Below are 14,475 nucleotides of genomic sequence, written 5' to 3' on the forward strand. Positions count from 1 at the left end.
ATGTCTGTAATCCCAGCACTTAGGGAGGCTGAAGCAAGTGGATCACCTGAGGTCAGGAGTTCGAGACCAGTCTAGGCAACATGGTGAAACCCCATCTCTACTAAAAATACAAAATGAGCAGGGTGTGGTGGCACATGCCTGTAGTCCCAGCTACTTGGGAGGCTGAGACAGGAGAATCACTTGAACCTGCGAGGCAGAGGCTGCAGTGAGCCGAGATCCCGCCACTGCACCCCAGCCTGGGCAAGACAGAGTGAGACTCCATTTCAAAAAAAGAAAACTCCCCTCTTTATTCATTTTCATTTGAGCAGTTTCTATTGCCTGCACCTTTACTATACCCTTTACTTGACACACTTTTGTGTTGTTCTAAGACAAGAGTAGTTTATTCTGTTCAGTAACACATTAAAATTTAAATGTACACATGCTGTATATGGAGTTGAAGACATGTCCATATTTTATGCAGAAACAGCTAGAACCACTGGATTATTAATAGCAGGAAAACCAGACAGCTAATTATACATTTGCTGTTGTTTTTCTAGGATGTGCACATTAGCTTTTCACTGATGCTGTTAACTGTAATATTTAGTGCCATGATGTCCAAATGAAGGTGACAGAGGAAAAAGAGAACAGGATAGGAAATAGCTTACTGTTATTTTGAAATATGGGTGCTAAGTTACAGGAGGGAGCCCAAAGTGTGGGTCCAATCACACATACATGCAGATGCTCTTATCATTTCCCTCAGGTTTTGTGACCTAGGACCCCTCTAGCTATTGTCCTACAGAAGGATACAGCCTGTGGTGGTGAATTTTGTGTCAACTTGGCTGGCTCATAGTACTCAGATATGTGGACAAACATTACTGTGGATGTTTCTTTGATGGTGTTTATTGGATGGGATTAACATTTAAATCAATGGACTTTGAGTAAAGCAGTTTGCCCTTCACAATGCGGGTGGGCCTCATCCAATCAGTTGAAGTCCTTAATAGAACAAAGGCTGACCTCCCCTGAGCAAGAAGGGATTCTGTCTCCAGACTGCCTTTTTTGTTGTTGTTTGTTGTTTTGAAGAACAAGGATATTTACTCTTAAAAAAGAAGCGCTGTCCCACAAAAAGATGTACAGATTTGAAAAACACTTATTTTACTGTATTAAAAAACAACAACAACAGAAAAACAGGCAGGGGATGTCTAGATGGCAGAATTGAAGCAGCTCTGTACGAAAATGAAGATGGTACGATGATGTGACTTCAAAGAAAATGACTAAAACAAAATTTCACAAACATCTTCACGTTTCTAATAATAATGCACAAAATATCAAAAATACAAAGTCTGGGTTTCTTCCCTGTAGGTTTATGATAAACTATTAAACTTCTATTTAATGCATTTACTTTCATAAGCCTTCTTTGTTTAGAAGTACAAGCTATACAAGTACATACATGCTGGTATTTTACCATGAAAATTTCACTTTTCATCTCAAACTAGTGATTTGTCTTCTTACCCATACTTATATACATTTCACTTCCATCATAAGACATGTAATACATTTCTAGTGGTACATTTTAATCAATATATATTTTTTAAATATTGATTTTTAAAAGAATCTTTTTAGTGCTATGATACGATGGCCTTAATTTAACAGCTGAAGCATGATATGGTAACTACACTGTACTGTTTAATTTTCAGCTGTAGGAAAACATTTGAGTTTTAAAATATAACCAAGATGAGGCTGGATAGTAATAAACACCGAAATACTAGAAAACAGTGAACGAATAAATAATACATTTTTTTTCATCAGGGGCTATTCATCATTTTGTTTTTAGAAACCTGGAAGAAATTGTCTTGAGTTTCAAATGTTCTGGTAAATCTAGTCGTTTCTTAGCCTCCTCAATGTCACCTGGAATTGCTGAAATAAGTGAGTCTAAAGAATCAAAGTTCTTTTCTGGTCTGAGGTAGCCAACAATGGCCACATTGGGGATTTCCCCATAGAAGTCCTCTTTGAAGGTATGCAGGATAAGCGTGTCCATGGACTTCTTCGTATTCTTGTGGTAGAGGGTCCATCCTATGCTCACCACCACCTAAAGGCCATCTCCACTTCCGACACTGGCCCAACCATAATAAATGCCAATGGATACATCAACTGGAAGATTAGCTACTACTTGTTCTGGAAAATTAGCTGCGGAGATGCCCAGCGGCCTGGAGCCACGGCCGAAGCCCCGCACCACTTGGGCCCGGCAGAGGCAGGGCAGATGCCTCACGTTATAGTCCAGTCCGCTCAGGACACGGGCTGCGGCCGGGTCCGCGCGTTCTACGGAGCCGCCATCGACGCGGTGCCCGGACCCTGGATCAGCAAGGGGTGGGGTGGGGACATGGCCGTGAGCTCTGCCTGCCGCGGGGGCGCACCAGGGGCCTGGCGACAAGACGACACGCCGCGGTGGGTCCCTGAGGCAACCAACCCAACAAAAGCTTCCCGGCGACTCAAGAGCTGTGTCTCCCCAGACTGCCTTTGGATTTGAACTGCCACTCTTCCCTAGGTCTCCAGCCTGGTGGCCTCCCCCATGAGATTTTGAACTCGCCAAGCCTCAGTAATCCTGGGAGTCAATGCCTTAATATAAATCTCTGTCTCTGTCTCTCTCCCCCCTCCCGCCCCCCACTCTGTCTCTGGTTCGGTTTCTCTGGAGAACTCTGGCTAATACAGAATCTATTACAGTAAAAATTTTAGTATCGGACTCAAGAACATCAGACCGACAGTTCCCCTTCAAACTTACTTAGATTAGGCTGATTTCTTTCTGGCTATGCTACATTATCATTCTTTCACAGATCCTTGAGATAATACATTTTTACCTATTTCCTTATATTGTAGTAAAGTATATTCTAATTAAAAAGAAAGACTTGAAAATAGACTAATTTTAGATTCTTAACATATCTCAAATCATGCATACAGCAAAGCCTTCGCTTCCTATATTTGATAAACATGTCAAACATTCAACAATTAGATACAACATTCCCAAATGAAATGTGAAATGATTCTGATATTCTTCAGGCACCTATGCTAGATTGTTACTTTAGGGATTTACTGGGTCCTTTATTCTTGTCACGGCACGTAATTACAGGAAAAATTATTATAGCTCACTCCCAAAGAAATGAACAGCAGCTCTCCTTGCTACGAGCATTATCTGCTTTCAAAGTTTAAGCATGTTCCATAGCTTCCACTTCCTGAGCAGCCACAGTATAAAGATGGAGGCCGACCACACAGCCAGGAGGAGGCGCTACAGAGACGGCTCAATTATGGCGGAAGGGAAGGGTGGCTTCCAGGGGCAACTGGCTGGCCTCTGCCATTTCTGTCTGTGGTTTGTGATCTCACAGCGTCACCTGCTCCGCAGATACAGAGCTGTGGACCCCTCAGAGGGTGGTGAAACAGCTTGCTGATTGCTGTCAAGGTATTCACTGACAAAATGCAGTGGCAATCACAAGCACGAATCACGTACACTCCCTTTGTCATATGTCATGGACGGAGTTGTGTCCCCTCCCCTAAATTCTTATGTTGCAGCCCTATCCCCCAACATAGCTATATTTGGAGATCAGGCCTGTGAAGAGGAAATAAAGGTTAGGTGGGTTATAGGGTGGGAACTAATACAATAGAACTGGTGTCCTTTTAAGAAGAGGAAGAGACCCCAGAGTTGGTTGTTTTGTTTTGTTTTTCTCTCTGTCTCTATGCACACACAGGAAAAGCCACTGAGGACACGAGAAGAAGGCAGCCATCCCCAAGCAGGAAGAGACACTCCACAGGAACTGAACTTGCCACCACCCTGATCTCGAACTTCTAGTTTCCGTAACTATGAGGTAACAAATTCCTACTGTTTAAACCACCTAGTTTGTGGCATTTTGTTAAGGCGGCCCCGGCAGACTACATGAAGCTTAACAAAATCATATACTTATATCCATGTACAGACATTTATCTCCTTGCTCAACACCTGCACCCTTATGAGACCATGAATTAGGGGAGCAAGGCCCTGACTGTCCCATTTACTGTGGAGTACCTAAAGCCCAGGACATGTCTGGCATAGAGTACAGACTCCTTAATTTTGCTAATTCAGTGGATCATTACAGTTCCTAAACAACTATGAGCTAAAGTATCAGTGGTGATACTTCTAAAAAATATTAGTATGTGGCTTGGAGTCGGATAACCTTCCATGTAAAATAACATTATCATCTGCGAAGATTCTAGCAAATTGAACACTTCTGACTGTGAGAAGCTACATTTATCAAAAGGTGAGAAAAATCCGTTTTCTCCAACTGTGGAAAATAAGGGTATACCTGTTATTTGCTGTCAGATTTTTCAGGACTTTTGTTTTCTTCTGGCAAATGTTAGCGCTAGACAGCTCTGGAGTGAGGCCCTGTCATTCTGTTGTTACTGATTCACAAGAAATTAGATGTTATCGAGACAAAGAGAGCTAGATCTCAATGACTCTGTTTCTTTACAATATTTCACCTTGCAATGCCTCATGGGCTTTTCATCATTAAATGAGGGCTGATGGTATGTAAAGAACGACATTGTAAACTAATGCTTCTCAAGTGTTCAAAAAGAAGGGTGCCATGTGAAACACGAGAAAGATGATCTATACTGAATATGGTGCCGAAGAGAGAGTATAAATGATGACTTTATTGTGTCTAGGTGCTATCTTGTTAATCCATATGCATTCTCTTCTGAATCACAGCATGTCTGTGTTAGGGTCTGTTGGGGGAAACAGGACACCCAATAAAGTATTTCGAAGAGTAATTTCACTATTCAGAAAGTGGAGAGAGGTGGCTTAATGCACTTTTTGGAGAGCCGATAGCATTTTTGAATCTTGTTCTGCAAAAATAGTTCTTGGTGCCCTCAGGATGTGCTGTGAGCAGAGGATGAAAGCAATTAAGTTGGGCCAGCCACCAGAGAGACAGACCAGACAGGCTTGCTTTGGTCTGGCTTCGCCTCTCTCTTGGAGAGTTCCTACGGGCAGAAGCATTTGAGCACCGCATCCGAATTGGTTTTGTGGTGCTTTGCTTCAGCTTCTTTATCCTAACATCAAGGTAAACTGCCTTAAAAGAAAGAAAAGGTACTTGGACCATATTGGGGCCTTTGAACATGATGGTATGTTTCTAGGGATGGGAGAAAATGGCAACACAAAATAAGACTAGAAAAAAATATTGAGTGCTTACTACAGGGACACAGACTCTGGAAAACACGATGGCTAACGAAATACTAAGGAAATGGCCACAGAAAAAAGACCTTGAACTTTGTGGAATGTATTAATCCAGCAGCACCAATCTATAAGCTGTGTTCTCAAAGCGACTGCTACAGGCCAGAAATTCTTGTGTACATCAAGCGTGTTTTATAGAATGAATAAAAATGCCTTCTAGTTGTACGTGTTGCTTTAAAAAATATGTAGAAACTATTGCTGTGCATTTTCAAAGGGTTATTTAAAATGTCACTGGACTCAGAATAGCTTCCCCCACACCCTGCACACCGATATTCTCTCAGATAACAAACACTGAAATACAACCACTGTCTTATGGTTGTATCACAAAATTCTAGTGTTAAGAGGGGCCCCTGCACTCTTTCTGGAATTAAATATCTTTTAGATGTCCCCCTTTCCTCAGGTTTTAAAATGCCCTTCTCTCATCAGTATCAGGTTTTCTAAAGATGATTTCCTTAGAAATCCTGTTCCTCTCGTCTCAGTCAGTCATGACCACCGCTCTGTCTTGGGACCCTGGTGTGCTTGAGCATTAGGGTGGGGCTATTCTTGAGGAAGGGAGGGCTGTGGAAGGCTGGGAAGAGTGGGAAAGATACTGCATGACATGAGAAGAAAGTGTTTTTATGGCTGACGTCCTGTAAACAATGCAATCCATCACCAAGATCAGCACAACAAATGACAGTTTTACCTTCCGTGTTTTGTGGGGGTTTCTCATTCTGGATGACTTCTTAATGTCCACTTCAGTTGTATTTACACATCCAGGCTGGGAATGGAAAAACAGAGAGACAAATGAATCTTTGGGTGTGAAATTTCTGACCAGGACAATCATGAATGGCTCGCTCTCCAGAGCCCGAGCAAATGCCCCAATGACACAAATCAAGGGAGGTGTTTTCTAGATGGCCACAGCCAGTCCCATCAGCAGTAGCCAGTCATAAAAGACATGATACTTCTTAACTCTTCACACTTAAAAGCCTTCAGATGCTATCCTCAAATAACTCCCAGAGAAACAGGAAAAAGAAATACTCGGACTGCACATGTGAAAGTGGTGTCAATACGTATAGCGACAAACCCGACAGACAGAGTGAGGGCACTCCTGGACAAAGAGATACCCCTTGCTGGTTTTCTGCAGACAGCCTCTCGCAGAGATCTCTCTTTATAAAAAGTGAGGCTGGGCCGGGCGCAGTGACTCATGCCTGTAATCCCAGCACTTTGGGAAGCTGAGGTGGGTGGATCACCTGAGGTAAGGAGTTCGAGACCAGCCTGACCAATATGGTGAAACCCTGTCTCTACTAAAAATACAAAAAATTAGCTGGGCGTGGTGGCGGGTGCCTGTAATCCCAGATACTTAGGAGGCTGAGGCAGGAGAATCACTTGAACCCGGGAGGTGGAGGTTGCAGTGAGTCAAGATCACACCATTGCACTCCAGCCTGGGCAACAAGAGCAAAACTCCATTGCAAAAAAAAAAAAAAAAAAAAAAAACAGGCTGTTATTAGATGGGTGCCTTGCTTTTCCCAGGCTGGAAGACTAAAATGGCATTTAGTTGAGCCAGCTCACATCCCAGAATGAACTGTCTTACAAGGATTGTGAAACCCAGCAACTAGGAATCCTTGTTTGCCATAGACAGAATGTGCAATGGAGTTCATGGTTAAAATGTGAAAGATGGAGAAAGAAACTGGTAAATAAGATGCCATGCTTCTTCTGATAAATTCCTGACCTTCCTTTTCCTTAAGGGCAGGTGAACCCCTTTAAAACAGAGGGGTTGATGAAGTATAGGCAGCCTGCTGTTAGCTTCCTGACAACCTCAGGTGTCTCATTTGTCAGATTTATTGTTCTGTTGTACAGAAACAAATAGATGCAAGCTCCTTGTATATTTGGAGGAGGAGAGGGGAGGAGGGAGGAAGAAGAGGGGAAGGGAGAGAACATGAATCACGAAACAGAGAAGACAGGAGATTCAAAAATACATAGTAGCTTAAATGTAGAAAGGGCTTAGACATCACACATCCTTTAGAAGTGATGAGAAGTTAATGGCTACATGGACTGTGTTTCCTTTACTTTTGGTGCAGGATTTAACGATCTCTGGTATTAGTAAAAAACATCGGCCAGGTGCGGTGGCTCACGCCTGTAACCCCAGCACTTTGGGAAGCCAAGGTGGATGGATCATGAGGTCAGGAGTTCAAGACCAGCCTGGCCAACATGGTGAAACCCCATCTCTACTGAAAATACAAAAATTAGCAGGACATGGTGGCAGGCGCCTGTAGTCCCAGCTTCTCTGGAGGCTGAGGCAGGATAATGGCTTGAGCCCAGGAGGTGGAGGTTGCAGTGAGCCAAGATTGCGCCAATGCACGCTAGCCTGGGCAACAAGAGAGAAACTCCATCTCAAAACAGACAAACAAACAAACAAACCATCAAGTTGCATGTCTCTGCTCAATTTCTCTATTTCTTCCCACAGACTGCAAGAAATTAAAGCATTAGATGTCCTTAGAAGTGACTCCAGAGAAACTGTGAATACGGAAAAGTCTTCCGTGGAGTTGGGGTGGGGTTGGGAAGAAAGGGCAAAAAGGCAGAGCTGATGTGATTGGCAGACTCAGCTGTTCACTACAGTAACGGGAATCAGTTCATTGTGTAATGAGGACAGAGGACACTTTCCTTAAAGAACCATCTCCTGCTAGTATAGCCATTGGGCCAAAACTCCGCCATAATATTATAATAGATAAGGAAGTAAATGAGGAAAACATTTTTTTTTGTAGAATATGTATATACTACAGATACACACACACACACTGTACTACAAACATTAAATAAATTATGAGTTTGGTTTGCATATCTATTTAGGAATAGAAATCACTGGTTCAGCACAGTGGTCAGCTTGGCAGTGTAGGAGGGAGGAAGGGCACCCAGCTGGGTGGGACTAATTTCCTAAGTGACACTGAGCAATTCACTAAACTCTCCCAGCATCTGGTTGCTGAGTATGTGATATTGTGGTTTGATTTTTTTTTATGGTTGGTCTAAGCATTTGTTTTTTAAAAAGACCCCCGGGGATTTTAATCTGCAGCCGGAGTTCACAACCACTGATGTAGGTGTAACAAAGACAAGGTTTTTAAAACATTAAAGGATCGAGTTTTCACTTTCCATTCGATTTCTATTTCTTTGCAGCCTTCCATCCCTAAGCCTGAGCCATAACGGAAGGGAAGGCAGTAAAATTCTTTAAACTCCTATCAACATATCAGGAGCCAAGCACAGTGCCAGGTGCAGTGGCTTATGCCTGTAATCTCAGCATTTGGAGAGGCTGAGGTGGGAGGATCACTTGCTTTGAGGAGTTTGAGGCTGCAGTGAGCTGTGACTGAGCCACCACACTCCAGCCTGGGTGATAGGGTGAGATTCTGTCTCTCTCTGTCTTTCTTTTTCTTTTTTTTAAAGAGCCAAGTATGATAAGATGTGTCATAGAGATTTTCTTCCATATGTTAAGGGGTGGGAAAAATTAGGATATAATATCCAGGAAAAGGAAAGCATGTTTCTTCATGACCTGGAGGCAAAGAAAGATAAAGGTAAGATACTGAGCTCAGCAGGTGTTTCATTTTTCTCCTCTGTGGAAGAAACTCGAAGAAGAAGAGGTGATAGGGAGGAATAAAAAGTCCCAGACAAGTATGAGGAAGCCTGTGAAGTAGTCAGTCCCATTCCCATAGAAGAAGCCCCACATGCAATCCGAGCCAACATGAATTTTATATCATATGGGTGTTAGCAAGAAAGATGAGCTTAAGAAAATGCTTCCCAAGCCTCTTATGTGGCAGTCAAGCCATCCGGAGTTTCTTGCATGCCACAGTAGTAAAAGGCACAGAAGATCTAAGAATAGTGGGTGGATGGGAGCCTGAAGTTGGGACAAAGGCTGCAGTGTGCAGGGATTTTATGCTGGAAGCAGATGTCTGAAACACAAACTTCAGCAGTGAGTTCCAGGTGATGAGATGGTACCTGTTGCAACATGCAAACCTGTCTATAGCAGAAATCGACAAGGATCTGGAAGATGTTCTGGGGGTGCTTGGCCCTCTGGCCCCACTGCACAAGACTGTAAAAACAAAACCTCTAGACCCCAAACTCTCTTCCAAACCAATCCTGGATAGCAGCAGAGAAAGGCCGAGAAAACTGAAAATGTAATCATTTATCCACAAATGACCGAGTCATCTAAACCAACTATTTCAATTATGGTGGCATGCAGAGCACATGCGTTGAAACCTACCCTTCAAATAGGTTTCTGAGAAAACTATGTCAATTATAGAAAATAAAGAAACTGTATTTTCTTTATACATCTGAGGAAGCTGAACTAATTTGAACTCTAAACTCCTTCCATAAAGAGCTAGGATTCCAAATCAATTTTACTTCATACCAGGGGTCATAATTAACAAATGGCCCTGGAAATCGTGTCAACCATTGAAGGCATAAAGTGGAAAGATTCCCCTCCCCAGAGGAACATATCTGACTGTCAGTCCTGAAGGAAATTAGAAGTTTCATCCTCATATTTAAAAGATGATGGCCTTTTAAATTTGATTAATGAACCATTAGCTTACATCTGAAATTCCCACTTGAGCCAATTATTAACACCACTAATCAGCAAATTAATAAGAAAGCATTGATTTTAAAAGTAAATGTCATTAGAGACTGAACGGTAAGATATGTTTTATAACCCGGCTCCCATCCCAGGAAAATGAAATCTGCCAGTTCAAAGTTTGTTACTAATGACTAAATGGTTAAAATAGTAAGCTGGATCTGGGATGCTTGTCTCGGAGGCCCTGTAATTTCTAATGAGGCCTCATGGGACAGCTAATGGTTCAACAGATCTATGATATCTAAGTCAACTAGGAAATTCTTGAAGATTAAAAAAGCTTAGAGGCCCAAAGTTGCCTGGAATACTTCTGAATAATTAAGGTCATGACCCAGTGCTGATAACCCCTGAATAACTGCTTTCAGAAGTCATGCACTGTGGTAAGTGAAATATGGCAATAATTTTTCTTGAATTCTCTTATGTATTCAATAAATATTTCTTTCTGCATCTAATTGTCGGATCTTGTGACAAATGGTGAGTTACAGAAATGAAGGCACGAGCCCTATCCCAGTAACTTCCTGATACAATAAAAACGACAGACACATGAATAATCAGAATATGGGAGCATAATGACTAAGTGGAAGTTGGCACAGAGCATTACATGACAACAGAACATTCCAGACATCCTTTTTTTTTTTTTTTTTTTCCTGAGACGGAGTTTCACTCTTGTTGCCCAGGCTGGAGTGCAATGGCGCAATCTCGGCTCACTGCAACCGCTGCCTCCTGGGTTCAAGTGATTCTCCTGTCTCAGCCTTCTGAGTAGCTGGGATTACAGGCGGGTGCCACCACACCCAGCTAATTTTTTGTATTTTTAGTAGAGACAAGGTTTTGCCATGTTGGCCAGGCTGGTCTCGAACTCCTGACCTCAGGTGATCCACCCGCCTTGGCCTCCCGAAGTGCTGGAATTACAGGCATGAGTCACTGTGCATGGCCAAGACAGACATCCATTTTTATGCACAGTCTGTTGGTTCTCCTCAACATGGCAAACACTATTCCTTTAAAAGTTATTTTTAAGCAATTTTTCAATCTCGATGAGACCATGTTGTCTTTGGTTATTTAAAAAAAAGTCAATCATCTTTTTGATGCATATATAATAGGTACCACTAGCTGGCACCAGACCTTCGTGAAATTCGTAAAATTGGTTTCTGCAGAGCTAAACAAATCTATCTTCCCAATAAGATATAAATAACATTACCATTACCAAGTAGACATTCCATTAAAATCTTCAAATATATACTATTTGCTGGATACAGTATTAAGCACATAGTATTGTTGGATGTAAGGAATAATGAAATGCTATTTACATCAGCCTGGAAGAGAATTGTGTTATTTCTAGTGATTCAAAGATGAATTTCTTTTCAACCGAACTAAGCTGGGTTGCAACATTATTATAACGTTATTTATTATAAAGTAGGATTTAACATTGTGGAAGCCACTCCTGAGGGAGTAAACGGAGCATATCATTGAGAAATACTACTGTCATAACATTTACGTGAGTGTCCTCATGAGGTGCAAAAGAGAAGCTGGAGTTTTTGGTTTCATTATTGATATTTTAAGTAAAAGCATCTAAATGCCATTTAGTTCCTTTCATGCGATAGTACATTTTTGTTAGTTATAGCAGAAGGTACACTTGTGTTCAAGACAACTCGGCAAAGCCTGTGGTGAAGAGCGACAGTGAGAGAGAGGAATACAGAACAGCTGTGTTTAAGTTCCATCACTGCAGCTGATGTGTACCTGGGAGAACAGTGTCCTAAACGACAGGTGAGTGGAGGATTAGAAATGCACCATCAAATAGAGCTGATAGCAAGACATCAAGTACACCCTAGAAAGTTTTAAAAAATCATGATTCTGGGAAAATTCAGGTTTCAAATATGCATAGTCCCCCCTTATCCTGGGGGGATATGTTTTACTACTGCCCACCCCCACAAAAGAGATGCCTGAAACCACGGATAGTACCAAACCCTATATATGCTGTTTTTCTTATATATACACATGCTTATCATAAAGTTTAACTTATAAATTAGGAACAATAAGAAATTAACAACAATAACTAATAATAAAATAGAAAACAACAATAAGTAATAATAAAATAATAAAATATGCCAGCCTCACTGCGCTTGGGCTTTGGGGTCATTCTGAAGTAAAGTAAGGGTGACTCGAACACAAGCACTGCAATACCAGGACAGTCGATCTGATAACCTAGAAGACTACTAAGTGCCTAACAGGTGGGTACCACAGACAGCGTGGATCTGCTGGACAAAGGGGTGACTCATGTTCCAGGTGGGGCAGAATGGGATAGACGAGATTTCATCATGCTACTCAGAATGGCACGAAATTACAAACTTATGCATTGTTTCTTGAATTTTCCATTTAATATTTTTGGACTGCAGTTGACTGTGGGTAACTGAAACCACAGAGTGCAACCATAGATAAGGGGGAGCTACTGTATTTAGATGGTCCCTGACTTACTATGGCTCAACTTAAAATTTTTCACCCTTACTGTGAGTTTATTAGAGTATTAAATGCATTTTTGACTTACTATATTTTTGGCTTACAGTGGCTTTATTGGGACATAACCCCATTGTAGGTCAAGGAGCATCTGTATATATATTAATTCAAATAGAAGTAAATTAATGAAAAAGAGTCACCGCTTTGTAATACAGTACAAGTTATAAAAACTGCATGCATGATCCATAGTACCCCAGTAAGAATGATCCCTTATTCTTACATGAAGTAATTATAGATTTTAAAGTGTTCACTTACATGAAGTAACTATAGATTTTAAAGTGTTCAGTCTCAGGACTTTTTTTTTTTTGGCCCAGGCTGGAATGCAGTGGTGCAATCACAGCTCACTATAGCCTTGACTTCCTGGGCTCAAGCAATCCTCTTGTCTCAGCCTCTTGAGTAGCTGGTACTACAGGTGAGTGCCACCATGTCTGGCTAATATTTTATTTTTAATTTTTAGTAGAGACAGGGTCTTGCTCCGTTGCCCAGGCTGGTCTCCAACTCCTGGCCTCAAGCAGTCCTCCCATCTCAGCCTCCTAAAGCTCTGGTATTACAGGTGCGAAGCACTGTGCCTAGCCAGGATTCTTTTTTTAAAGATCCAATTCAAGCTTTTCTTCATTTTCTTAGGCAGTTGTCAGTTGATTCAGCCTCTGATCCTTTCAGCCCTCCTCCTCCCGACCCATCTACTTACTAAGTCCTACGCACAAACTGAAGAAAGTTGTTTGAGGAAATTGCTCCAAATTTCTTCCATTCACTCTTCTCTATAGTATTTACTCATTTGATTCCTATTAGGCCTCATTTGCTAGCTACAGACTCTTGGGTATGATATCTTGCTTCAGTGTATGCTGTGAATGAACTCCACACATCCAAGAGGCAGAAGGAAACAGAATCATACGAAGTCAGCCTGAAGCTGTGGAAAGTGGGCAGGTTGAGTAGAAGTCACAGACCATGATAAGGTGGTAAGGACTTTGGTTTAATTCTTTATTTTTATTTTTAAGGTTTTTTTTGTTTGTTTGTTTTGAGATGGAGTCTCGCTCCACCGCCCAGACTGGAGTGCAGGGGCGTGACCTCGGCTCACTGCAAGCTCCGCCTCCCGGGTTCACGCCATTCTCCTGCCTCAGCCTCCCGAGTAGCTGGGACTACAGGTGTCCGCCACCACGCCCAGCTAATTTTTTTGTATTTTTAGTAGAGACGGGGTTTCACCGTGTTAGCCAGGATGGTCTCCATCTCCTGACCTCGTGATCCGCCCGCCTCGGCCTCCCAAAATGCTGAGATTACAGGCTTGAGCCACCGCGCCCAGCCCGACTTTGGCTTAATTCTAAACATAATTGGAAGCCACTGGAGAGTTTTAAACAGGAGAGTGACTTCATATGATTTATTTTTCAAAACTCATTCAGACCTTACACTCCACACACACACACACACACACACACACACACACACACACAAACTCAAAATGAATCATAAACCTAAATGTAAAATGCTAAATTATAAAATTTTTAGAAAATAACAGGAGAACATCTAGGTGACCTTGAGTTGGGTGATGACTTTTTAGATACCCTATCGAAGGCACAATCCATGAAAGAAATAATTGGTAACTTGGATTTCATTAAAATTAAAAACTTCTGTTCTGTGAAAGATACTGTCAAGAGAATGAGAAGACAGGCCACAAACTGGAAAAAAAATAGGCAAGGTTATTATCCAAAATAAGTAAAGAACTCTTAAAACCCAACAATAAGAAGATACCACAACCCAATTAACATATGGACAGATGATCTGAACAGGCACCTCACCAAAGAAAATATACAGATGGCAAATACATTTATACAAAGATGCTCCACATCGTATGTCATTGGGAAAACGCAAATTGAAATAACGAGATACCACTACACACCTATTAGAATTGCCAAAATCCAGAACGCTGAAAACACCAATTGCTGGCAAGAATGTGGAGCCACAGAGATTCTCATTCATTGCCAGTGGGAATGCAAAATGGTTCAGCCACTTTGCAAGACGGTTTGGCAGTTTCTTACAAAACACTCTAACCATTCGATCCAGCAATCATCCTCATTGGCATTTACCCAAATTGAGTCGAAAACTTATGTTCACAAAAAAACCTGTACACGGATGTTTCTAGCAGCTTGTTCTTCATAAT

General features: G+C 41.7%; 1 protein-coding gene, 1 long non-coding RNA gene and 1 pseudogene across 23 annotated transcripts in view; 1 reads left to right on the forward strand and 2 right to left on the reverse strand.

Moving 5' to 3' along the window:
- RGS7 (regulator of G protein signaling 7) overlaps positions 1–14,475 on the reverse strand; it is a 582,489-nt gene that overhangs the window by 46,447 nt on the left and 521,567 nt on the right. For 21 of the 22 annotated variants that reach the window (NM_001374806.1, NM_001374811.1, NM_001374814.1 and 18 more), the window contains one exon: positions 5,910–5,984. The exons of the other annotated variant lie outside the window; for it this stretch is intronic. In NM_001374806.1, the coding sequence (NP_001361735.1) occupies positions 5,910–5,984 (75 nt within the window). The remainder of the gene's footprint in view (positions 1–5,909; positions 5,985–14,475) is intronic. 22 annotated transcript variants of the gene reach the window in all.
- RFKP1 (riboflavin kinase pseudogene 1) lies at positions 1,366–2,484 on the reverse strand (annotated as a pseudogene).
- LOC124904602 (uncharacterized) lies at positions 2,384–11,501 on the forward strand. Its single transcript, XR_007067053.1, has 3 exons — positions 2,384–2,421; positions 3,714–3,830; positions 11,428–11,501. It is a non-coding gene; the product is annotated as an uncharacterized LOC124904602 (long non-coding RNA).

Source organism: Homo sapiens, chromosome 1, assembly GCF_000001405.40.
Source record: "Homo sapiens chromosome 1, GRCh38.p14 Primary Assembly".
NCBI lineage: Eukaryota > Metazoa > Chordata > Mammalia > Primates > Hominidae > Homo > Homo sapiens.